The 26,206-nt window shown below is 44.2% G+C and overlaps 1 protein-coding gene across 24 annotated transcripts in view; it reads right to left on the reverse strand.

Annotated features, from left to right (window-relative positions):
• The window catches only part of DAPK2 (death associated protein kinase 2), a 139,450-nt gene that overhangs the window by 31,808 nt on the left and 81,436 nt on the right, over nt 1–26,206 (reverse strand). For 21 of the 24 annotated variants that reach the window (NR_169523.1, NR_169524.1, NR_169522.1 and 18 more), the window contains one exon: nt 389–518. The exons of 1 other annotated variant lie outside the window; for it this stretch is intronic. Coding sequence is in view for 19 of the 23 variants with exons in the window: in NM_001384999.1 (NP_001371928.1) it covers nt 389–518 (130 nt within the window). In the remaining 4 variants the exon portion in view is untranslated. The remainder of the gene's footprint in view (nt 1–388; nt 519–26,206) is intronic. 2 more of the 24 variants (NM_001395281.1, NM_001395287.1) reach the window with 1 other exon arrangement.

The following is a 26,206-nucleotide window of genomic DNA, read 5'->3' on the forward strand; positions in this document are numbered from 1 at the left end:
TTCAGGAAATCAAAAGCTAGTTCAGAGAAGGTTGAGTTTATGGGAATTCAAGAGGGCGAGGTAATTTTAAGTCTTCACAAGAATAAACTCATCTAAGAGCACGAGGTGGGGCCAGCGCTACAAGGGTTTAACCTTACAGGCTGTAGCCCCACTGAGAGCCACTGGGCCCCACTCAGCCCTTGCCTCACTGAGCACTCAAAGCCTACACCTGGGCCCTCATCCCCAGGCCCAATAAGACATTTCCTTCCCCACCCATTAGGTTTCTAGAGATGTCCCAATGCATCATCTCTTTGCTCAGAGGCCATAGCCCCAGACACAGGTTTCTTCCCAGGATCCCTACCTTTGATGCCAGATTCTTAGCTGAAAGACAAACAGGCCTACAACTCACCAACAAATTCCGGCGTCCCAAAAATATTCTTAAATTCAACTCCATCTTCTATTTCGTGAGCCAGACCAAAGTCAATCAGCTTGATGTGTGGAATGGGAATATTCTTGTCTAACAACATAATGTTTTCTGGCTGGACAACAAAAAGTAGAAAAAAAAAAAAGGAAGGAAGAAAAGAAAAAAAAAGACGGTAATTAAAGGCTGGTTGGTTCGTGTTTTGGCTTTGGGGTTTGGGGTGGGACTTGGTGTTCTTTTTAGGAGACTGAAACAGCATAAACTCTTCCTTGTTTTTGGTCCTCAGTCTTCTCTGTGAACCCAAAGACAGGTAAAGCATTGAGGGCAAGGCCTGGGTTTTACCAAACCTTCTGCTCACAGCAGAACTGAAGACTCCAGCCTTCATCTCCATTCTGTCTCTGAGTGGCAGATCCCTTTAATGCAGTGCCTCTGTTTTCCTATCTGTCAAATGGGGCCAATGAGATACTTGCAGCATTTCCTGTAAACAAACCCAGCACTGCTGTGTGGGTGTGAAAGGGACGGGGACATCCCAGCTTAGCCTCTGTTTATACTTGGCTTACTGACCTTGGTCTTCCTGACCGCCTCTTTCCCCTGGCCAGCCAACTTCCTGTTGACAACATTCCCCTCCTCTAGACTCACTGTGTAGCCCACACTTCTCTCTGCGTTTAACTAATTTTGGTCCTCAGCAGGACACAGGAAAAATGCACCCGATTTCCAGGGAAAATACCAGCTGCTCAGGCTATTTCCAGCCCAGCAAGCAGCTGCCAGGTCTGACACAACAATGCAGGTGGGTGCAGGGTAGGGGACAGCCCCTCACACACCCATGGGCCTGGCCCTCACACACCCCAGACTCCCAGTGAGGCTGCAATGGAATCCTGAGCTCTCCCTTCTCACTCCCACCCAACCACTCAGACTACGGTCCCCTCTGCCTCACCCACTTTCTCCCACTCCACACAACTTTCCTTCACTCCACTCTAAAGGAAATGTCCTGAAAACACACATCCACACAAAATATGTATACAAATGTTCACAGCAGCATATTCCCAATATCCCTGAAGGGGAAACAGTGAATGAATGGATAAACAAGATGTGAACACCCATAGCACATCTAGTATCCACATGTGAATTCGATTTGGCCATAAAAAGGAATGAAGCCAAAGAAAAAAATAAAAAGGAATGAAGTACTGCTGGGCGCGGTGGCTCATGCCTGTAATCCCAGCACTTTGGGAGGTCGAGGTGGGTGGATTACTTGAGGTCAGGAGTTTGAGACCAGCCCGGCCAACATGGCAAAACCCCTGTCTCTACTAAAAATACAAAAGTTAGGTGGGTGTGGTGGCGCACGCCTGTAGTCCCAGCTGCTCGGGAGGCTGAGGCAGGAGAATCACTTGAACCCAGGAGGTGGAGGTTGCAGTGAACCAAGATCGTGCCACTGCACTCCAGCCTGGGCAACAGAGTGAGTCTCTGTCTCAATTAATAAATAAATAAATAAATAAATAAAATGAAATATAAAAAGGAATGAAGTACTGATACCTGCTACAGCAGCAAGGAACCTTGAAAACATTTATGCTAAGGGAAAGAACCAGTCATAAAAGACAAAAAATATTCCATTGATACAAAATACCCAGCATAGGCAAATCCACAGAGACAGAAAGTAGATTAGTAGTCCCCTAGGATTGGGGGAATGGAGAGATGGGGAGTACAAGGTTTCTTTTCTATTTTCTATAAACTATGGTGGTGTTGGTTATATAACTTTGTAAACGGTACACATTAAGTGAATAAATTATATAGTATGTGAATTATATCTCCATAAAGCTATTAAATAAATAAATATTTAAGAAAATCAAACATCCCTGTTTCTTAAAGCACTGAAGGGTTTCCACAGCTTGCACCTTTGTTCACACCATCTGCTCTGCCTGGAAAGCCTTCTGTTCAGTCTCTGTCCATTGAAATCCTAGCTGGGCTTCAAAGTCTAACTCAACCCACTGTGTTCTTGCAGACTTTCCTCAGCAACCCTGAGCACCCTCCACCACCCCCAGGAGTGAGCCCCACCCCGCTCCAGGCCCCACCAGGCTTATTTGAACCTTTCTGTGATGACATTTGGCATGCTTTCTCTTGTCCAGCGGCCCTTTGCTGTTTTTATCATAGCTCCCCTACCAGAGCTGTCCTCAGCCGGAAGGAGGACTCAGATCTTTGCATCTTTGCCCCTGCAATGCAGAGCACAGCAGCTGGCATGCTGAGGGTGACCCTAGCTGTTAGCTGAACTGATAGTGAATCTGGACAGATGCCTTCTCCCAGGTCCCCCTGGCTGCCTATGGTCTCTGTGACCTTCCAGCTGGAAACTTCCACTCAAGGGAGCTGACTGAGGCCTTCCTTGGCTTTTTTTCCTTTTTTTAAAAAAAATAAATAACACATTTCCTTTTGCATTTTTTTTGCTTTTTTATTCTTCTTCCCCTCTGGAGATTACTCTCAACACTGTTTTGAAAATGTGTCCAAGTCTCCCCAAGGCACCGCAAATTTCCCTAAGGCTGTACAGAAAGGAGCATGAGGGTGGGTGAAGTCAGCTTATGACCTGGAGAGGATCCAGGAAAGTGGCCCCACTCTAGCACCCCTGACCAGCCCACTGGGGGCTGCCCATGGACCCAAGTGTCCTGGCACCCCATGCAGTCAGCTGCAACCTCCCAACTGCCAACTACCTCCCAGGCAGGCAGTTTCACCCTCTTAGGAACTTCTCCTCTCCTCCAGGGAAAAGACAGTGAGACATCTCCCTGGGGCTGAAGGGCCATGGCCCAGCCCTCCCGACCACCATAGCTGAGAGCCCAGGACACCATCTCACACCACACGCTGAATGGGGGTGGGAGCCAGACCTGGTGATCCCCAGGACTATGGAGCAGTAGGGATGAGGTGGTGGAGGGGAAGAATTGAGGCTGAAATAAGATGGGAGTCTCCTTCCTCACACAGGCTCACCTCTGTGGCACACAGTCCAGGAGAGATGGTTTCTTCACTGGTCTATAAGAACCTCAGGGCAGGCCGGGCACAGTGGCTCACACATGTAATCCTAGCACTTTGGGAGGCCAAGGCAGGGGGTATCACCTGAGGTCAGGCGTTCGAGACCAGCCTGGCCAACATGGTGAAACCCCATCTCTACTACAAATATAAAAATTAGCTGGGCGTGGTGGCATGCACCTATAATCCTAGCTACTCAGGGGGCTGAGATGGGAGAATCACTTGAACCGGGGAGGTGGAGGCTGCAGTGAGCCGAGAACACACTGCTACACTCCAGCCTGGGCGACAAAGTGAGACTCCATCTCAAAAAAACAACAACAAAAAAAACAAAAATAAAAAAACAAACAAAAAAAAGAACCCCAGGGCAGGGCCATGTTTCCCCCGCCCGAGTCTCATCTGTCCTCAGCCCCACCCCAAGCACCTAACACACAGCAGGTGACTTCTCTCCTGCCTGGAACACTCTCCCTGCACTACCCCAACCCCAAACCTGGCTAGTTCCTATTCACATTTCAGCAAAGGTAGTACCTCCTCCAGAAGGCCTTCTCTGCTCTCTCCCTGCCTACCACCCTCCCCAGTTCCCAAAGTACCCTGTAATACCCGAACACAGTGCTTCTTACTCTGATGAGCTTGTCTGCTTGTCTCCCTCTACTGGGTTGCCCAAGGGTTTTGTTCCTGTCATCTCCCCAGAGGTTGGGATAGAGCCTGATATCCAGCAGCTGCTCAATATATGTGCCCCAAGTGAAGACAGGTGCCACTGATTAAGCCCCTGCAATATACAGGACCCAGTGCTAAGCAAACATGCGACATACTTTACACTTCATTGAACTCTCAACTACCTCACATGGTGGGTGTTATCATTCCTTTTGCAAAAAAAAAAAAAGAAGAAACCAAGACTAGCCAGGTGTGGTGGCTCATGCCTGTAACCCCAGAACTTTGGGTGGCAGAGGCAGGAGGATTGCTTAAGCCCAGGAGTTCAAGACCAGCCAGGGCAACTTGGAGAAACCCTGTCTCTACAAAAAAAATTTTTAAAAATTAGCCCAGCATGGTGGCACACACTTGTAGTCCCAGCTACTCAGGAGGCTGAGGTGGGAGGATCACCTGAGCCCAGGAGGTTGAGGCTGCAATAAGTTATGATTGTGCCACTATACTCCAGACTTGGCAACAGAGTGAGACCCTGTCAAAAAGAAAAAAGAAAAGAAACCGAGACTATAACATTAGTTTGTATTATCCCTCATTAGGAACTTTAACCTTTATCTCTCAGGCCCCAAAGTTTGTGCTCCTAACCGCTAGACTAAATGATTCCCCTTCCTTGCTTCTCAGGGGTCTTATTAATCTAGCCCAGGAGGCCGGGCGCAGTGGCTCATGCCTGTATTCCCAGCACTTTGGGAGGCTGAAGTAGGTGGATCACTTGAGGTCAGGAGTTCAAGACCAGCCTGGTCAACATGGTGAAACCCCGACTCTACTAAAAAAAATACAAAAATTAGCTGGGCGTGGTGGCACACGCCTGTAGTTGCCACTACTCAGGAGGCTGAGGCAGGAGAATTGCTTGAACCCGGGAAGCAGAGGCTGCAGTGAGCTGAGATCGTACCACTGTACTCCAGTCTGGGTGACAGAGAGGGACTCTGTCTCAAAAAAAACAAAACAAAAAAAATCTATCCCAGAGAGAAGCAGCAATGCCACTCTGGCCTGGCAACCTGGGGCAACCTCGTGCCTGGCTCAGACACAGCTGTTTTCCTCCTCTGGCACCTGTGTCCTACCCCAGGGTGCCTTTTCTTCTGGTGATGCTTCCATGCAAGTGAGTAGCCCCAGAACCCATCCCTGGCCTCAGGAGCTCCTGAGCAGGAGGTCCTCAAGTCAGATGAGAAAACGGAGGTCCTGGCAGGGCGAACACCCAAGCTGGGTCTGGATAAAAGGATGAAGCCTGGGGGTTTCAGGCTGGAAGGTGGCCGTGGGGCAGTAGGAATGCTCTGTTGGGTCGTCAGGACCCAGGTTCTCGTCCCTACCTTCACCATTCACTTATTGGGCCATTTGGACCAGACATACCCATAGACTCAGACCTGCCCTGATTGGGAGTAAACAGAGGCCATGGCTCCCTGCTATCCAGCCATGTTTCTGCTTCCTTCCTAGGCCACCAAGGTACCTATAGGCTGGCCAGGGGATTTGGGCCCCTAAACCTGAAGCTCTACCTGCTTTCAGACAGGCTTCCTTCTTGCTGTCCCAAGCTCCACTATTAGCCTGATGACAGCCAGGACAGAGGGTAGGGACTAACATTTACAGCATGTTTACTAAGCCAAATTTGATGCTAGTGTTCTATGTGATCCTTGCAGCCACGCTGAGTGATAGGTACTGTTATAAACTCCATTTCACAGATAAGAAAACGGGGCTCACACAGGGCTAAATGATTTGCCAAGGTGCAACAGCTTGTAATGTCACAATCAGTGGGGAGCAGTGGGGTGGGGGCTTCCCTGGCAGTCCAATCCCTTTCTCCCCAACACATCACTGAATCTGGTTAAATATCTTCAGTGGTCCCACTGGCCACCGGAGAAAGTCCAAATGCCCCACCTGATATTTGAAGTAGTCAAGGCACTGACTGCCCCATGCTCTCTTTCCAGCCTCACCACCCATCCCTTGCCTGTACCTGCTCTATATCCCCGCAGGGTGGGCACTACCACTCCACAACGACATCTCAACTCCATCCTTTGCTCTGGCTTGGAATGCCTGTCCTACTCCTCTTCATTTTCAGAGCCTCTTCCCCCTCAACCCTGCCTCCCCTTACTCCCTTACTTAGAGAGAATCTTTTTCTAAAAAAAGAGATGAGATGTTGCCCAGACTGGATTTAAACTCCTGAGCTCAAGTGATCCTCCCCGCTCAGCCTCCTGAGTAGTTGGGATTACAGACATGAGCCACCCTGACCACCCAGCTAACTCCCTTACTTCTCCCTGAGCTTCCCCCAACCCTGTGCTCTAACCCCTCCGTGTTGATGACGCTGGCCTGCTGGCAGTCCTAAGCTGTAGGCTGTCTCTCACAGGTGATGCCACTTTCCTGGGTGGCAGCCTTTTCCCTGAGAAAATTCAAATTGGTTTTAGGATTCCTGGTATCCCCTGTGGCGTCTTGCATCCTGCATGTTCCATTAATATTTGAGGAAATGAATTGAAAGAATCCAGGGCCAGAGGCTCCTCCTTTTCTGCCAGGCCCCGCACCACCACTAGGGGCTCCAGAGTGCATTCCTCCTATAGGGCTGTGATGCGGATGGAGCAGGAAGGAACGGCACTAAGGGAGGGTCCAAAAGGAAGCTAAGGGTCAGCAGAGTGGCAGTTCCCCAGGAATTTGGTCTAAGCTTCTCTGCTTCCACCCTCCCCAAATAGAGCAGGGTGGTGCAAAAGAGCCCAGGCCTGCAGATTGGAAAACTGCAGGTCCAGCTCCACCACCCAAGGCCATGTGAGCTTAAGCAGGCCACGTCCTTTCTCTGGGCCTCAGCCCCCCAACTGTAAGTCAGGCAGTGGATGGCATCCAAAGCCCCTTCAAGCTCTGGGCTCTGCAGTTTCGAGATGGCACAACCTCCCAAGCTGGCTGTGAAAATTCCTACTGCTTTGGGCTCTAAGGCAGGACGTGTAAAGGCGCAGGTCTCCTGGCCCCAGGTCAGGAAGAACAGGCTGCTGCAACCACACACTGCTGGGTCCAAGCCAGAGTGCCCTCTGGGGCAGTCCGATTCTATCCATACTCCCCACTCCTGTCATTCTCCTCCAGCTTTATTTACTTCAACCAAATACTTCACCCACATACCTGACATCACCTCCAAAGCACGGCTGGAGGGAGGGGTCACATTCCCACAGGTGCCGCCACTGCCCAGCCCAGGGCCTGCCTGCCACCAGGAGGCAGAAATACCCTTGTCAAAACAAACCCACCCAGCTCATCCCGCCAGGGAGGCACCCATGGGAGAGGCCAACGTGCTCCTTTGTGTCCTGGGGGATCTGGCCAGAGGTGCCTGCTGTGGTGCCGACCAGAAGGTGGTTGTCCGGTGGGGCACCCATGGCCTGTGGGCCCAGCACAGCGTGTCCTGAAGTCTGAGCAGGATGAAGACACCCTTGGGGGGCTATGTCATAAAGTACAAAAGACAAAGGCAAGTCTGGGTTCAAATCCCAGCTCTGCTGTTCACAGTATGAAAACTGGACAGACACTGGAGCTCTTAGAGGCTCAGTTTCCCATCTATAAAATGGGGGCAAAACCTACTGAGCCACGGGGTTGTTCTGTGATTGAGAGAGATGGTTTATGTAAGGAGCAGCACCCAATGAGATTTCAGACAACAGTGGCTATGTTTGCTCATTCTTTTCTGGGATGCAGCATGAACAGTCATCCCTGGGAGCTCACAATGTTGGGGCTGCAAGGGACCTCAGAGATCATTTAGTCCCTTCATGTCAGAGCAGCCCAGAGACATCAAGAAACTACCAAGGTCACTGAGCAAGGACCTCCAGCCCAGTGCCCTCTCCAGATGCCCGTGTGGCCTGCCTGCTGCTGAGTGAGGCTGCTCTGCTCAGCAAAGCAGAGGCCCAGCCAGGGCTGTGCTGTGGGGACAAGGAAGCTGCCTACCAATCTTCACCAGCCATGTCAAGCACAGCCCCAGATTATTCAGGCAGTGCTGGGCAACCTGAGAAAGGAAGGCCGCTCCATGCTAGGCCTCTGTGGACAGGTTTTGAGGGTGCTCAGCTCCCTGTCCTCACACACTGTCGATGGGACCACAGCCAGCCCCTCCCCACAAGTCTTCAGTGTGGCCCATGCCCAATACGTGCCTCTGTGTGGCATTCAAGGCCCTGCTTCCCCACCTCCTACTCCCTGCCCGCTTTCCCTCTGCTACCTCTCTGCTACCTCTTCATCACCCCATCCCACCCTGCAGTTCACTCTGCTGGAACAGCCTTCCTGACAAGCTCCTTCTCCCCCTCTCCACCCAGTTCCCACACACACTGGAACTTCTTCTATGATCTCCCTCCCCTCCAACACACAGCTAGTTGTCCCCAGCTTGCACACACCTCTGGCAGAGAATCAGCTGCACTACAATTCCTTCCTTACATGTCCTGTCCCCACTATACTAAAACCCCATAAGGAAGGACAAGGGCCTTGCCTTTCATTTCCATCCCCAGCACCCAAGGGCGGCTGGCATTATAGCAGGGCCCAGTTACTGTTTACTGGACAAATAAAGAAATGGGCCAATGCGGTCACATATGCATCTCTCACACATCCTGCTTTTGGAGAATATAGATAATGGCTAAGCATGCACGCCTTGGAATCTGGGTTCGGATCCCAGCTCTGCCATTTATCAGCAGCCTGACACTGGGCAAGTTATTGAACCTCTCTCAGCATAGGTTTCTCACCTATAAATTAGGAATAACAATCATAAAACCTATCTCAAGAGGGTTACTAGGAGGATCAAACAAGGCATATAAAGTGGCCTATAGGTGTTATCATAGTCTCTGTGACTATTTCCTTGATGATGTCTCTCCTTCCCAGAATGAGAATCTTTATCATCTGCCTATTGAACTCCTAACCACATTTCCAGGCCCTGCCCAAACCTTCTTTCCTCCAGAAGCATCATTTGGATATGCAGCCCAGCTCTTCTTCCTTCTCCCATCTCCATTCATGCAACAAGCTTGATCCATAGCACCAACCACCACCAAGAGCTCTGTGAGTGAGTCTTGCCTTCCCCACTTGTATTAGTCCATTCTCGAATTGCTGTAATGAAATACCTGATGGGCGCAGTGGCTCACGCCTATAATCCCAGTACTTTGGGAGGCCGAGGTGGGCAAAGCACCTGAGGTCGGGAGTTCAAGACCAGCCTGGCCAACATAGCGAAACCCCATCTCTAAGAAAAAATGCAAAAAAATTAGCTGGGTGTGATGGCACACACCTGTAATCCCAGCTACTTCAGAGGCTGAGGTAGGAGAATCGCTTGAACCTGGGAGGCAGAGGTTGCAGTGAGCGGAGATCACACCACTGCATTCCAGCCTGCATGATGGAGTGAGACTCCATCTCAAAAAAAAAAAAAAAAAAAAAAAAAAAAAGATTTAACTGGTTCATGGTTCCATAGGCTGTACAGGAAGCATAGCAGCTTTTGCTTCTGGAGAGGCCTCAAGAAGCTTACACTCATGGCAGAAGGTGAAGGGAAAGCAGGCACATCTTACCTGGCCAGAGAAGGAGCAAGAAGGAGAGAGAGGGGAGGTGCCTCACACTTTTAAACAACCTGATCTTGTGAGAACTCACTATCATGAGAACAGCACCAAGGCACTAAGGGGAAAATCCGCCCCCAAGATCCAGTCACCTCCCAACAGGCCCCATCTCCAACACTGAGGATCACAATTCAACACGAGATTTAGGTGGGGACACAGATCCAAACCATATCACTGCTAGACTGCACACTGGCTGAAGGCAGGGCCTGCTTCTCACACTCCTCCTGCGTTCCTCCACACACGCAACCTAGAGGTCCGTGTAGAACAAAACTTGTAGCACTTCACAGTTTACAAAGGAGTCACATGTGTCTCATTTTGTCACAGTTTACAAAGAAGTCACATGTGTCTCATTTTGTCCTCACCCTGTGAAGCAAGTGCTGTCTTGCTTCTGACCCCTGTAAAACTGACCCCAGTTTTACAGATGAAGAAACCAAGGCACAAGAGATCGTTTGCCCACACTGCCTCAGCTAATAGGTAATGGAGCTGAGATTCAAGCACAGGCTGACCCCAAATCCTGTGTGCTCTCCACTCTCCCACATGGCCTCCCCTCCTCTAGCTGATGCCGGCGTGCCTTCTGAAATCACCCTTGCCTGCTGGTTTGCCATTTCCAACCTAGCTCTGGTGCCTCATCAGTTTGCTGTGCAGCTCCATGTTTTTCCCAGAAAACCCACAGTTGTGGCTTAGGAAAGGGCCTGAACTCAGTTGCACTTGGATTTGTTAAACCACAGCCTCTGGCTACTCACCCATGACTGCTTCCTCCTCTGGGGTAGGCCACTGTGTGGCTCTGACCTCCTGTTGCCCTACTGGGTAAAGCAGGAAAGAAAACCCTACCTGCTCTGTCTCTATACTCTCATGGGATAGAGGGAGAGAAATAAAAATTCACTTTCAAGGCCATTCCAGGACCACTGGCTTTCAGTCCTGGGCTAAGCAGCACACTGGCTTTATGGTCTGTGCCACACACCACCAGCATTTGCCTTGGGCTCTCCCTTCCCTTCCCTTTATCAGACCCTCAAAGCCAACGGGTGAGGCTGGGATGGATGTTGCTCCCATCTAACCAGTGAGGAGCCTGGGCCTGGATTCAGGCATTCTGAGGACCTAGCTGTGCTTTAGGGGCCCCCCATCTGTGCTAATTGCCTATCGGAATTCCCAAACCAACTAAATCCAACTCACCAGGAGTTGGCTCCAAGATGCATGACTTCAAAGCAAGCCTGCAAGGAAGTCAAAATCAGCTGGGGTCCAGTGTTTAGAAAACCAATGCTACAGAGGGCCCCATCCTTAGGTAGATAGGAGTTCGATTCCACTTCTACCCATCCTAGCTCTGTGATCTTGGCAAGTCACTCATCTCTTTCAGCCTTGGGTCCCTCACTTGCAAAATGGGAATGTTAATATGGTAAAGCAAATATGGCTGAATGTTGAATGTAAGGAGAGGGTTTAATGATGTCTATTGTATTCTCCCAATTTCTTCAAATGTTCTGAAATTTTTTTCCCAATAAAAAGTTTTGAGGGAAAAAGACTTCCATGCTGTGACTGCTGATAGAAACTCTTTGGTCTGGACCTGAACCTTTACAGTCTCATCCTAACAGATCTTGCCAGTTCGATTTCTACCAAGTCTTACCTCCACTTCATGCCTTCAGGTTTTAGTATGGAAATAGCTCCAGGCATAAGTTCTACTTTCAAATGTATGCACATTCTATAGCAATTAATAAAATACAAATTAAATTTTTAAGTATGAGGGATAACTTATTAGAAAGAGAAAACAATTTTTTTTTGAGACATAGTCTCACTCTATCAACCAAGCTGGAGTGTGGTGGTGCGATCACAGCTCATTGCAGCCTCAACTTCCTGGGCTCAAGTGATCCTCCCATCTCAGCCTCTTGAATAGCTGGGCCTACAGGCATGTACCACCACATCTGGCTAATTAAAAAACATTTTTTTTTTTTGTAGAGACTCACTCTGTTACCCAGGCTGGTCTCAAACTCCTGGGCTCAAGCAATCCGCCTGCCTTAGCCTCCCAAAGTGCTGGGATTACAGCCATGAGCCACAGTGCCCAGCCAGAAAGAGAAAACAACTATTAGAAAGAAAAAAACAACTATTAGAAAGAAAAAAACACTGTTTTATTTTTTTTATTTTTTATTTTTTTGGATTAACTGTGTGTAAAAGGCATAACCTAAGGAAGTAAGAAATCCGTAATGTTAGAATCTGGTAAAATAAAACTTGGTGACCTCCAGCTTTGTTTAGTGTTTCCTCACTGGCTAAGTTCAAGTCTCAGCCCTGTCACTTAATACTGTGTAATCTTGGGCAAGTTACTTAACCTCTCTAAATCTCCATTGCCTATATGTAAAAAAGTGACAAGATCCTGTACTTCAGTGAGGATCAAATGAGAAAACAGACATGTAAACACATCATGTTCTAGAAAGTTCCACACACATTTGAAGTATTAACATCCTCATGACAGCTTGGCCAGCAGACTTCATCACACATTATTAAAGGACAGCTCGCAGAATGACTCAGGGCATAGAGGAATTTGGATTTTTTGGAATATCTTACTCAAGGATTCATGCCTCTTAACACTGTTTATATAAAGCAATTCCCCCCTCCCCGGGGTTCTGGATTCCTGGCCTGCATAGAATTTTCATCAATTCTCATGACTTGTTATTTTGACATAAAATACCATCAGACCTGAAAACTTCACCTTCCATTTCTGAGTTCTCAAGTTGGATCAGGCTTGGGTGCAGATTGGGGGTGGAGGAAGGACATACCATTACTCAGAGGGGAAGCTACCAAATCCAAAACAAACACAAAACCACATAAAAATGCCCTCTACAAGGCCTCTGTGTTGGAATCATGCAAGGGGGTGCGGTTCCTGGGTGATACTGAGCCCTGTTTCCTGGTGATCCATCCCGTGGAAGGTACATCTAGTGCTACCAGGTACCGAAGGGCAGTCAGCCCCAGTGTCCCTTCCATCTATGTCAAGATAGGTGACATCGTCTATGCACATCACCTCCACCTACCCACATCAGCAGGCTTTCTGTGGTGGATGTACAACACACACCAGGATGATTTCCACTCTGCAGAGACAGAGAGCGCACTCCTTGGCAGCGAGCATTTGTTTGTGATAATTGGTTACCTTTTATTTCCGATGGCATCCCCACCGAGTCTCACTATGGCCAGCTCCTAGTAGATGATGGGCTCCTGGAAGGCTGGTACCATAGCACATTGATGTTTGTCACTCTACCCCCTGGCATACAGTAGACCTTCAACAAATGTTCATATCAGTAAATTGAAATCCACCTGCAATCTCTTCTGTATTTTCCAGGTAAGACATGAAAGGGCCTTGGCCATCCGTGTGTGTGCCTGGTTTTCACTAACGCATTCACTCATTCATTCACCCATTCACTCATTTGTTCGACACTGAGGAACTCAGCATGTGTTGGGCACTAGGTAGCAGAAAGTGACTCACTGTGATCAATGCTCAGCAGAAGTTTGTACACAGGGCCAGGCGTGCTGGCTCATGCCTGTAATCTCAGTACTTTGGTAGGCTGAGGCGGGCGGATCACTTGAGGTCAGGAGTTCGAGACCAGCCTGGCCAACATGGTGAAAACCCATCTCTACTAAAAATACAAACATTAGCCAGGCGTGGTGACAGATGCCTGTAATCCCAACTACTCAGGAGGCGGAGGGAGGAGAATCGTTTGAACCTGGGAGGCAGAGGTTGCAGTGAACCGAGATCCTGCCACTGCACTCCAGCCTGGGAGACAGAGTGAGATTCCATCTCAAGAAAAGAAAAAAAAGTTTGTACAAAGAACAACGGAAGCAGAAAGGCAGATTAGTTCTTAGTTACGCTTTTCAGAGGTGGCAAGGATGGTGAAAGTGTTCCGGAGGAAATGGCAATTCTGTTGGGCCTTGAGTGATTAGCAGGAAATCCATGAGCAGAAAAAAGGAAGAGCAGCAGCATCTGGGATGAGAATAGCACAAACAGAGGAGAAGAGAGGCCAGGGTATGTATCTGTATCTTGTTGCCCGGGGCTAGGTTTTGGAGAGAGGAACAGTGGATGAGGACAGAAATAGGGCTAAGGCAGTGCAAGAAAGGCCCGAGAATGTCATGCTAAGAGTGGGTTCATTCACCCTATGGCTAACAAGGACTCATCACAGATTTTTGGGCAAGAGCATTCCATGATCTGTTTTTTTTTATTTATTTTTTTATTTTTGTGGGTACATAGTAGGTGTATATATTTATGGGGTATGTGAGATATTTTGATACAGGCATACAATGCATAATAATCATATCAGGATGAACAGGGTATCCATCATCTCAAGCATTTACCCTTTGTGTTACAAACAAAGCAATTATGCTCTTTTAGTAATTTTTAAATGTACAATAACTTATTGTTGGCTATACTCTATTGTGCTATCAAATACTAGATCATCTTCATTTATCTAACTACATATTTGTACCCATTAACCAGTCTCCCTTCCCCCCACCCCTGGCCTGGCCCCTCTACCCTTCTGAGGCTCTGGCAACCAGAAATTTTATTTCCATGGGCTTTGGGGGAACAGGTGGTGTTTGGTTACATAAGTTCTTTAGTGGTAATTTGTGAGATTTTGGTGTTCCCATCACTTGAGTAGTATACAATGAACCCAATTTGCAGTCTTTTATACCTCACCCCCCTCCCACCCTTCCCCCGAGTCCCCAAAGTCCATTGTATCATTCTTGTGCCTTTGCAACCTCATAGCTTAGCTTCCACTTATGAGTGAGAACATACAATGTTTGGTTTCCATTCCTGAGTTTCTTCACTTAGGATAATAGTCTCCAGCTCCATCCAAGTTCTGGCAACCATTTTTCTACTCTCAATATCTCATGAGTTCAACTGTTTTAATTTTTAGCATGCATAAATGAGAACATACAAAGTTTGTCTTTCTGTACCTGGCTTATTTCACTTAACATAATGACCTTCAGTTCCATCCAAGTTGTTGCATATGACAGGATCTCATTCTTTTTATGGCTCAATAGTACTTATTTGTGTATATTTACCACATTTTCTTTATCCATTTGTCTGCTGAGGGACACTTTGGTGGCTTCCAATTCTTGGCAATTGTGAACAGTGCTGCAATAAACACACAAGTGCAGATATTTCTCCAATATACTAATTTCCTTTCTTGTGGGTATATATCTAGCAGTGGGATTGCTGGATCGTTATGTTAGTTCTATTTTTAGTTTTTTGAGGAACCTCCAAATGTTCTCCATAGTGGTTGTATTAACTTACATTCCCACCAACAGTGTACGAGGGTTCCCCTTTCTCAGCATTGTTACCAGCATGTTACTGACTGTCTTTTGGATAAAAGCCATTTTAAATGGGGTGAGATGATGTCTCACTGGAGTTTTGATTTGCATTTCTCTGATGATCAATGGTGTTGAGCACCTTTTCATACACCTGTTTGCCATTTGTATGTCTTCTTTTTAGAAATGTCTATTCAGATCTTTTGCCCATTTTTTAACCTTTCCTGTGATGCTGATTTTGCCCATTTTTAAATCAGATTATTAGATTTTTTTCCTACAGACTTGTTTGAGCTCCTTATATATTCTGGTTATTAATCCCTTGTCAAATGGGTTGTTTGTAAATATTTTCTCCCATTCTGTGGGTTGTCTCTACTTTGTTGATTGTTTTCTTTGCTGTGCAGAAGCTTTTTAACTTGATGTGATCCCATTTGTCTATGTTTCTTGGTTACCTGTGCTTGTGGGGTATTACTCAAGAAATCTTTGCCTAATCCAATGTCTTGGAAAGTTTCTCCAATGTTTTCTTTTAGTAGTTTCATAGTTTGAAATCTTAGATTTAAGTCTTTAATCCATTTTGAATTTTTCTATATGGTAAGAAACAGGGGTCTAGTTTTATTCTTCTGTATGTGGATATGTAGTTTTCTCAATACCATTTATTGAAGAGACTGTCCTTTCCCCAGTTATGTTGTTGGCACCGTTGTCGAAAATGAGTTCACTGTAGATGTATGTATTTGTTTCTGAGTTCTCTACTCTGTTTCTTTGGTCTATGTGTCTGTTTTTATACCAGTACAATGCTGTTTTGGTTACTATATAGCTTTGTCATATAATTTGAAGTCAGATAATGTGATTCCTCCACTTTTGTTCTTTTTTCTCAGGATAGTTTTGGCTATTCTGTGTCTTTTGTGGTTCCATATACATTTTAGGTTTTGTTTTTTCTATTTCGGTTAAGAATGTCATTGGTATTTTTATAGGGATTGCATTGAATCTGTAGGTTGCTTTAGGTAGTATGGACATTTTAACAATATTAATTCTTCCAATCCATGAACATAGAATATCTTTCCATTTTTTTGTGTGTCCTCTTCAATTTCTCTCATCAATGTTTTATAGTTTTCATTATAGAGATCTTTCACATATTTTGTTCTTTGGTTAAGTTAATCCTAGGTTTCTTTTTAGCTATTGTAAGTGAGATTACTTTCTTGATTTCTTTTTCAGATAGTTCGCTGTTGGCATATAGAAATACTACTGATGTTTACATGTTGATTTTGTCTCCTGCAACTTTACTGAATTCGTTTATCAGTTCTAACAATTTTTTGGTGGAGTCTTCAGGTTTTTCCAAATATGAGATCATATCTGCAAACAAGGATAATTTTACCTCTTCCTGTCCAATTTGGACGCCCTTTATTTCTTTCTCTTGTCTGATTGCTCTAGCTAGGACTTCCAGTATTATGTTGAATAACAGTGGTGAAAGTGGGCATCCTTGTTGTGTTACAGATTTTAGAGGAAAGGCTTTCAGGTTTTACCCACTCAGTATGATACTAGCAGTGGGTCTGTTATATACGGCTTTTATTGTGTTGAGATATTTATCATGTGGGGATGTTGAATTCTATCAAATGCTTTTTCAGCTTCAATTGAAATGATTATGTTTTTTTCCTTAACTCTGTTGGTATAATGCATCAATGTTCATCAAGGATATGGTCCATAGTTTTCTTTGATGTGTTTTTGTCTGGTTTTGGTATAAGGATAATACTGGCCTCTTAGAACGACTTTGGAAGTATTCCCCCCTCCATTTTTCAGCATAGTTTGAGTAGGATTGGTATTAGTTCTTTGTTGTTGTTGTCGTCATTGTTTGAGACAGGGTCTCACTCTGTCACCGAGGCTGGAGTGAAATGGGGTGATCATGGCTCACGTGGCCTCTGCCTCCAGGGCTTAGGTGATCCTCCCATCTCAGCCTCCCAACTAACTGGGACTACAGGCATGCACCACCACACCCAGCTAATTTTTGTATTTTCAGTAGAGACAGGGCTTCTCCATGTTGCCCAGGTTGGTCTTGAACTCCTGAGCTCAAGTGCTCTCCCCACCTCAGCCTCCCAAAGTGCTGGGATTATAGGCATGAGCCACAGCACCTGGCCTGGCATTAGTTCTTATTTAAATGTTTGATAGAATTTAGCAGTAAAGCCATAGGGCCCCAGGCTTTTCTTTGCCAGAAAACTTCATATTACAGCTTTGATCTTCTTACTTGTTATTGGTGTGCAGGTTTTGGATTTCTTCATGGTTCAATCCTGGTAGGTTGTACCTGTCTAGAAATGTATCCATTTCTTCTAGGTTGTCCAGCCTATTGGAAATCATATAGTTGCTCACAGTAGCCACTAATGATCCTTTGAGTTTCCGCAGTATCAGTTGTAATGTCTCCTTTTTCGTCTCTGATTTTATTTATTTGGGTCTTTTTTCCTCTTAGTAGGTCTGGTTAAAAGTTTGTTGATTTTACCTTTTCAAAAAACCAACTTTTTTGTTTCACTGATCTTTTGTATTGTTTTCTTCATTTCACTTTTATTTATCTCTGTTCTGATCTTTATTATTTCTTTTCTTCTACTAATTTTGGATTTGGTTTGCAAAAGCCCTCTTAATACTGCTTTCAATATACCCCATAGGTTTTGGTATGTTGTATTCCCATTATCATTTTTTTCAAGAAATTTTTCAATTTCCTTCTTAATTTCTTCAATAGCCCACTGGTCATTCAGAAGCATATTATTTAATTCCCATGTGTTTGTATAGTTTCCAAAATTCCTCGTTATTATTTTTCAGTTTTTTTCCATTGTGGTCAGAGAAGATACTTGATATGATTTCAATTTAAATTTTTTTTTTTTTTTAGATGGAGTCGCACTCCGTCGCCCAGGCTGGAGTGCAGTGGCGCAATCTCAGCTCACTGCAAGCTCCACCTCCTGGGTTCACACCATTCTCCTGCCTCAGCTTCCCAAGTAGCTGGGACTACAGGCACCCACCACCACACCTGGCTAATTTTTTTGTATTTTTAGTAGAGATGGGGTTTCACCATGTTAGCCAGAACGGTCTCAATCTCCTGACTTCGTGATCCACCTGCCTCGGCCTCCCAAAGTGCTGGGATTACAGGCGTGAGCCACTGCACCTGGCCAAAAATTTTTTAAAGACTTTTATTGTGGCCTAACATATGGTCCATGCTTGAGAATGATCCATGTGCTGAGCAGAATGTGTATTCTGCAACTATTAGATGAAACGTTCTGTAAATATCTATTAGGTCCATTTGGTCTATAATGCATATTAAGTCCTATGTTTCTTTGTTGATTTTCTGTCTGGATGATCTGTCCAATGCTGAAAGCAAGGTCCTCCAATGTTGGATGCATACATATTTACAACTGTTATATCTTCTTGCTTAACTGACCCTTTTATCATTATATAATGGCTTTGTCTCTCTAAAGTTTTTATCCTGAAATCTATTTTGTCTGATGTAAATATAGCTACTCCTGCTCTTTTTTAGTTTCCATTGGCCTGGAAAATCTTTTTTCATCCCTTTACTTTTAGTCTATGTGTGCCTTTGTAGGTGAAATGCATTTCTTGTAGGCAACATATCATTGGGTCTGGTTTTTTCTTTATTATTATTATACATTAAGTTCTAGGGTACATGGGCACAACGCGCAGGTTTGTTACATATGTATACATGTGCCATGTTGGTATGCTGCACCCGTTAACTCGTCATTTACATTAGGTGTATCTCCTAATGCTATCCCTCCCCCCTCCCCCCACCCCATGACAGGCCCCGGTGTGTGATGTTCCCCACCCCGTGTCCAAGTGTTCTCATTGTTCATTTCCCACCTATGAGTGAGAACATGCGGTGTTTGGTTTTCTGTCCTTGCGATAGTTTGCTCAGAATGATGGTTTCTAGCTTCATCCATGTCCCTACAAAGGACATGAACTCATCATTTTTTATGGCTGCATAGTATTCCACGGTGTATATGTGCCACATTTTCTTAATCCATTCTATCATCGATGGACATTTGGGTTGGTTCCAAGTCTTTGCTGTTGTGAATAGTGCCGCAATAAACATATGTGTGCATGTGTCTTTATAGCAGCATGATTTATAATCCTTTGGGTATATGCCCAGTAATGGTATGGCTGGGTCAAATGGTATTTCTAGTTCTAGATCCATGAGGAATCGCCACACTGTCTTCCACAATGGTTGAACCAGTTTACAGTCCCACCAACGGTGTAAAAGCATTCCTGTTTCTCCACATCCTCTTCAGAACCTGTTGTTTCCTTACTTTTTAATGATTGCCATTCTAACTGGTGTGAGATGGTATCTCATTGTGGTTTTGATTTGCATTTCTCTGATGGCCAGTGATGATGAGCATTTTTTCATGTCTGTTGGCTGCATAAATGTCTTCTTCTGAGAAGTGTCTGTTCATATCCTTTGTGCACTTTTTGATGGAGTTGTTTTTTTTTCTTGTAAATTTGTTTAAGTTCTTTGTAGATTCTGGATATTAGCCCTTTGTCACATGGGTAGATTGTAAAAATTTTCTCCCATTCTGCAAGTTGCCTGTTCACTCTGATGGTAGTTTCTTTTGCTGTGCAGAAGCTCTTTAATTTAATTAGCTCCCATTTGTCAATTTTGGCTTTTGTTGCCATTGCTTTTGGTGTTTTAGTCATGAAGTCTTTGCCCATGTGTATGGCCTGAATGGTATTGCCTAGGTTTTCTTCTAGGGTTTTTATGGTTTTAGGTCTAACATTTAAGTCTTTAATCCATCTTGAATTAATTTTTGTATAAGGTGTAAGGAAGGGATCCAGTTTCAGCTTTCTACATATAGCTAGCCAGATTTCCCAGCACCATTTATTAAAAAGGGAATCCTTTCCCCATTTCTTGTTTTTGTCAGGTTTGTCAAAGATCAGATGGTTGTAGATGTGTGGTATTATTTCCGAGGGCTCTATTCTGTTCCATTGGTCTATATGTCTGTTTTGGTACCAGTACCATGCTGTTTTGGTTACTGTAGCATTGTAGTATAGTTTGAAGTCAGGTAGCATGATGCCTCCAGCTTTGTTCTTTTGGCTTAGGATTGTCTTGACAATGTGGGGTCTTTTTTGGTTCCATATGAACTTTAAAGTAGTTTTTTCCAATTCTGTGAAGAAAGTCATTGGTAGCTTGATGGGGATGGCATTGAATCTATACATTACCTTGGGCATTATGGCCATTTTCACAATATTGATTCTTCCTACCCATGAGCATGGAATGTTCTTCCATTTGTTTGTGTCCTCTTTTATTTCATTGAGCAGTGGTTTGTAGTTCTCCTTGAAGAGGTCCTTCACATCCCTTGTAAGTTGGATTCCTAGGCATTTTATTCTCTTTGAAGCAATTGTGAATGGGAGTTCACTTGTGATTTGGTTCTCTGTTTGTCTATTATTTGTGTACAAGAATGCTTGTGATTTTTGCACATTTATTTTGTATCCTGAGACTTTGCTGAAGTTGCTTATCAGCTTAAGGAGATTTTGGGCTGAGATGATGGGGTTTTCTAAATATACAATCGTATCATCTGCAAACAGGGACAATTTGACTTCCTCTTTTCCTAATTGAATACCCTTTATTTCTTTCTCTTGCCTGATTGCCCTGGCCAGAACTTCCAACACTATGTTGAATAGGAGTGGTGAGAGAGGGCATTCCTGTCTTGTGCCAGTTTTCAAAGGGAATGCTTCCAGTTTGTGCCCATTCATTACGATATTGACTGTGGATTTGTCATAAATAGCTCTTATTATTTTGAGACACGTCCCATCAATACCTAGTTTATTGAGAGTTTTTAGCATGAAGGGCTGTTGAATTTTGTTGAGGGCCTTTTCTGCATCTATTGAGATAATCATGTGGTTTTCGTCTTTGGTTCTGTTTATATGATGGATTACGTTTATTGATTTGCATATGTTGAACCAGCCTTGCATCCCAGGGATGAAGCCAACTTGATTGTGGTGGATAAGCTTTGTGACGTGCTGCTGGATTTGGTTTGCCAGTATTTTATTGAGGAGTTTTGCATCGATGTTCATTGGGGATATTGGTCTAAAATTCTCTTTTTTGTTGTGTCTCTGCCAGGCTTTGGTATCAGGATGATGTTGGCCTCATAAAATGAATTAGGGAGGATTCCCTCTTTTTCTATTGATTGGAATAGTTTCAGAAGGAATGGTACCAGCTCCTCTTTGTACCTCTGGTAGAATTCGGCTGTGAATCCGTCTGGTCCTGGACATTTTTTGGTTGGTAGGCTATTAATTATTGCCTCAATTTCAGAGCCTGTTATTGGTCTATTCAGGGATTCAACTTCTTCCTGGTTTAGTCTTGGAAGAGTGTATGTGTCCAGGAATTTATCCATTTCTTCTAGATATTCTAATTTATTTGCGTAGAGGTGTTTATAGTATTCTCTGATGGTAGTTTGTATTTCTGTGGGATTGGTGGTGATATCCCCTTTATCATTTTTTATCGCATCTATTTGATTCTTCTCTCTTTTCTTATTAGCCTTGATAGCAGTCTATCAATTTTGTTGATCTTTTCAAAAAACCAGCTCCTGGATTCATTGATTTTTTGAAGGGTTTTTTGTGTCTCTATCTCCTTCAGTTCTGCTCTGATCTTAGTTATTTATTGCCTTCTGCTAGCTTTTGAATGTGTTTGCTCTTGCTTCTCTAGTTCTTTTAATTGTGATGTTAGGGTGTCAATTTTAGATCTTTCCTGCTTTCTCTTGTGGGAATTTAGTGCTATAAATTTCCCTCTACACACTGCTTTAAATGTGTCCCAGAGATTCTGGTATGTTGTGTCTTTGTTCTCATTGGTTTAAAAGAACATCTTTATTTCTGTCTTCATTTCGTTATGTACCCAGTAGTCATTCAGGAGCAAGTTGTTCAGTTTCCATGTAGTTGAGTGGTTTTGAGTGAGTTTCTTAATCCCGAGTTATAGTTTGATTGCACTGTGGTCTGAGAGACAGTTATAATATCTGTTCTTTTACATTGGCTGAGGAGTGCTTTACTTCAAACTATGTGGTCAATTTTGGAATAAGTGTGATGTGGTGCTGGGAAGAATGTACATTCTGTTGATTTGGGGTGGAGAGTTCTGTAGATGTCTATTAGGTCTGATTGGTGCAGAGCTGAGTTCAATTCCTGGATATCCTTGTTAACTTTCTGTCTTGTTGATCTGTCTAATGTTGACAGCGGGGTGTTAAATTCTCCCATTATTATTGTGTGGGAATCTAAGTCTCTTTGTAGGTCTCTCAGGACTTGCTTTATGAATCTGGGTGCTCCTGTATTGGTTGCATATATATTTAGGATCGTTAGCACTTCTTGTTGAATTGATCCCTTTACCATTACGTAATGGCCTTCTTTGTCTCTTTTGATCTTTGTTGGTTTAAAGTTGTTTTATCAGAGACTAGGATTGCAACCCTTGCTTTTTTTTGTTTTCCATTTGCTTGGTAGATCTTCCTCCATCCCTTTGTTTTGAGCCTGTGTGTCTCTGTACGTGAGATGGATCTCCTGAATACAGCACACTGATGGGTCTTGACTCTATCCAATTTGCCAGTCTGTGTCTTTTAATTGGAGCATTTAGCCCATTTACATTTAAGGTTAATATTGTTATGTGTGAATTTGATCCTGTCATTATGATGTTAGCTGGCTATTTTGCTCATTAGTTGATGCAGTTTCTTCCTAGCACTGATAGTCTTTACAATTTGGCATGTTTTTGCAGTGGCTGGTACCAGTTGTTCCTTTCCATATTTAGTGCTTCCTTCAGGAGCTCTTGTAAGGCAGGCCTGGTGGTGACAACATCTCTCAGCATTTGTTTGTCTGTAAAGGATTTTATTTCTCCTTCACTTATGAAGCTTAGTTTGCTAGATGTGAGATTCTGGGTTGAAAATTCTTTTCTTTAAGAATGTTGAATATTGGCCCCCACTCTCTTCTGGCTTGTAGGGTTTCTGCCGAGAGATCTGCTGTTAGTCTGACGGGCTTCCCTTTGTGGGTAACCCGACCTTTCTCTCTGGCTGCCATTAACATTTTTTTCCTTTATTTCAACTTTGGTGAATCTGACAATTATGTGTCTTGGATTTGCTCTTCTTGAGGAGTATCTTTGTGGCGTTCTCTGTATTTCCTGAATTTGAATGTTGGCCTGTCTCACTAGGTTGGGGAAGTTCTACTGGATAATATCCTGAAGAGTGTTTTCCAACCTGGTTCCACTCTCCCCGTCACTTTCAGGTACACTAATCAAACGTAGATTTGGTCTTTTCACGTAGTCCATATTTCTTGGAGGCTTTTTTTGTTTCTTTTTACTCTTTTTCCTCTAAACTTCTCTTCTCACTTCATTTCATTCATTTGATCTTCAATCACTGATACCCTTTCTTCCACTTGATCAAATCAGCTACTGAAGCTTGTGTATGCGTCACATAGTTCTCGTGCCAGGGTTTTCAGCTCCATCAGGTCATTTAAGGACTTCTCTACACTGTTTATTCTAGTCAGCCATTCGTCTAATCTTTTTTCAAGGTTTTTAGCTTATTTGCGATGGGTTCGAACATCCTCCTTTAGCTCAGAGAAGTTTGTTATTACCGATCGTCTGAAGCCTTCTTCTCTCAACTTGTCAAAGTCATTCTCCGTCCAGCTTTGTTCCATTGCTGGCGAGGAGCTGCGTTCCTTTGGAGGAGAAGAGGCCCTCTGATTTCTAGAATTTTCAGCTTTTCTGCTCTGATTTCTCCCCATCTTTGTGGTTTTATGTACCTTTGGTCTTTGATGATGGTGACGTACAAATGGGGTTTTGGTGTGGATGTTCTTTCTGTTTGTTAGTTTTCCTTCTAACAATCAGGACCTTCAGCTGCAAGTCTGTTGGAGTTTGCTGGAGGTCCACTCCAGACCCTGTTTTACTGGGTATCACCAGCGGAGGCTGCAGAACAGCAAATATTGCAGAACGGTAGATGTTGCTGCCTGATCCCTCTTCTGGAAGCTTTGTTTCAGAGGGGCACCTGGCTGTATGAGGTGTCAGTCAGCCCCTATTGGGAGGTGTCTCCCAGTTAGGCTACTCGGGGGTCAGGGACCCACTTGAGGAGGCAGTCTGTCCATTCTCAGATCTCAAACTCCATGCTGGGAGAACCACTACTCTCTTTAAATCTGTCAGACAAGGACGTTTAAGTTTGCAGAAGTTTCTGCTGCCTTTTATTCAGCTATGCCGTGCCCCCAGAGGTGGAGTCTACAGAGGCAGGCAGGCCTCCTTGAGCTGCAGTGGGCTGCACCCACTTTGAACTTCCCGGCCACTTTGTTTACCTACTCAAGCCTCAGCAATGGCAGATGCCCCTCCCCAAGCCTTGCTCCCACCTTGCAATTGAATCTCAGACTGCTGTGCTAGCAGTGAGCAAGGCTCTGTGGGCATGGGACCCTCTGAGCCAGGCACGGGATACAATCTCCTGGTGTGCCGTTTGCTAAGGCCATTGGAAAAGCGCAGTATTAGGGTGGGAGTGTCCCGATTTTCCAGGTACCATCTGTCACGGCTTCCCTTTGCTAGGAAAGGGAATTCCCCGACCCCTTGTGCTTCCCGAGTGAGGCGATGCCCCTCCCTGCTCCATGGGCTGCACCCACTTTCTGACAAGCCCCAGTGAGAGGAACCCGGTACCTCAGTTGGAAATGCAGAAATCACCCATCTTCTGCGTCGCTCACGCTGGGAGCTACAGACTGGAGCTGTTCCTATTCGGCCATCTTGGAACCTCTTAACTGTTTTTTGTTTTTTAATCCATTCAGCCAATCTATGTCTTTTGATTGGAGAATTTAGTCCATTTACATTCAATGTTATTACTGATAAGTAAGGACTTACTCCTGCCACTTTGCTTTTTTATTTCTGGTTGTTTTGTTGTCTTCTTTTCCTTCTTTCCGTCCTTCCTGTCTTCCTTTTAGTGAAGGTAATTTTCTCTGGTGGTAAGTTTTAATTTCTTGCTTTTTATTTCTTTATATCTCTGCTGTAGGTTTTTTGATTTGAGGTTACCATGAGGCTTGCAAACACTGTCATATAATTCATTATTTTAAACTAATGACAACAATGCTGATTGCATGAACAAGCTAACAAGCAAAGAGAAAACTAATAAAAACTCTACACTTTAACTTTCTCCCCTCACTTTTTAACTTTTTGTTTCTGTTTATATCTTATTGTACTGTCTGTCTTGAAACATTGTAGTTATTTTTTATCAGTTTATCATTTAGTCTTTCTACTCAAGATACAAGTAGTTTACACACAATTACAGTGTTATGATATTCTGTGTTTTTCTGTGTACTTAATATTACCAGTAAGTTCTACACCTTCAGATGGTTTCTTATTGCTCATTAATGTCCTTTTCCTTTAGATTGAAGAATTCCCTTTAGCATTTCTTGTAGGACAGGTCTGGTATTGATGACATCCTCAGATTTTCTTTGTCTGGGAAAGTCTTTATTTCTCCTTTATGTTTGAAGGATATTTTTGCTGGATATACTATTCTAGAATAAAGGTTTTTTCCTCAGCACTTTAAATATGTCATGCCACCCTCTCCTGGCCTATAAGGTTTCCACTACAAAGTCTGCTGCCAGACATATTGGAGTTTCATCGTATGTTGTTTCTTTTCTCTTGCTTTTAGGATCCTTTCTTTACTCTTGACTTTTGGGAGTTTGATTATTAAATGTCTTTAATTTTTGGGAGTTTGATTATTATTTGGGTTTAACCTTCTTTGTGTTCTATAACCTTCCTGTACTTGAATATTGATATCTTTCTCTAGCTTTGGGAAGTTCTGTTATTATCCCTTTGAATAAACTTTCTACCTCTATCTCTCTACCTCCTCATTGGGGCCAATAACTCTTAAATTTGCCTTTTTGAGGCTATTTTCTAGATGTTATAGGAATGCTTCATTCTTTTTTTTTCTTTTGTCTCCTCTGTGTATTTTCGAATAGTCTATCTTCAAGCTCACTAATTCTTTCTTCTGCTTGATCAATTCTGCTGCTAACAGACTCTGACGCATTCTTCAGTACATCAATTGCATTTTTCACTTCCAGAATTTCTGTTTGATTCTTTTTAGTTATTTAAATCTCTTTGTTAAATTTATCTGATATAATTCTGAATTCCTTCTCTGTGTTATCTTGATTTTCACTGAGTTTCCTCAAAACAGCTATTCTAAATTCTCTGTCTGAAAGGTCACATGTCTCTGTCTCTCCAGGATTGGTCCCTGGTGCCTTATTTAGTTCATTTGGTGAAGTCATGATTTCCTGGATGGTTTTGATGCTTGTGGACGTTTATTGATGTCTGGCCATTGAAGAATTAGGTATTTAT

This window comes from Homo sapiens, chromosome 15, assembly GCF_000001405.40.
Source record: "Homo sapiens chromosome 15, GRCh38.p14 Primary Assembly".
NCBI classification, from domain to species: Eukaryota; Metazoa; Chordata; class Mammalia; order Primates; family Hominidae; genus Homo; species Homo sapiens.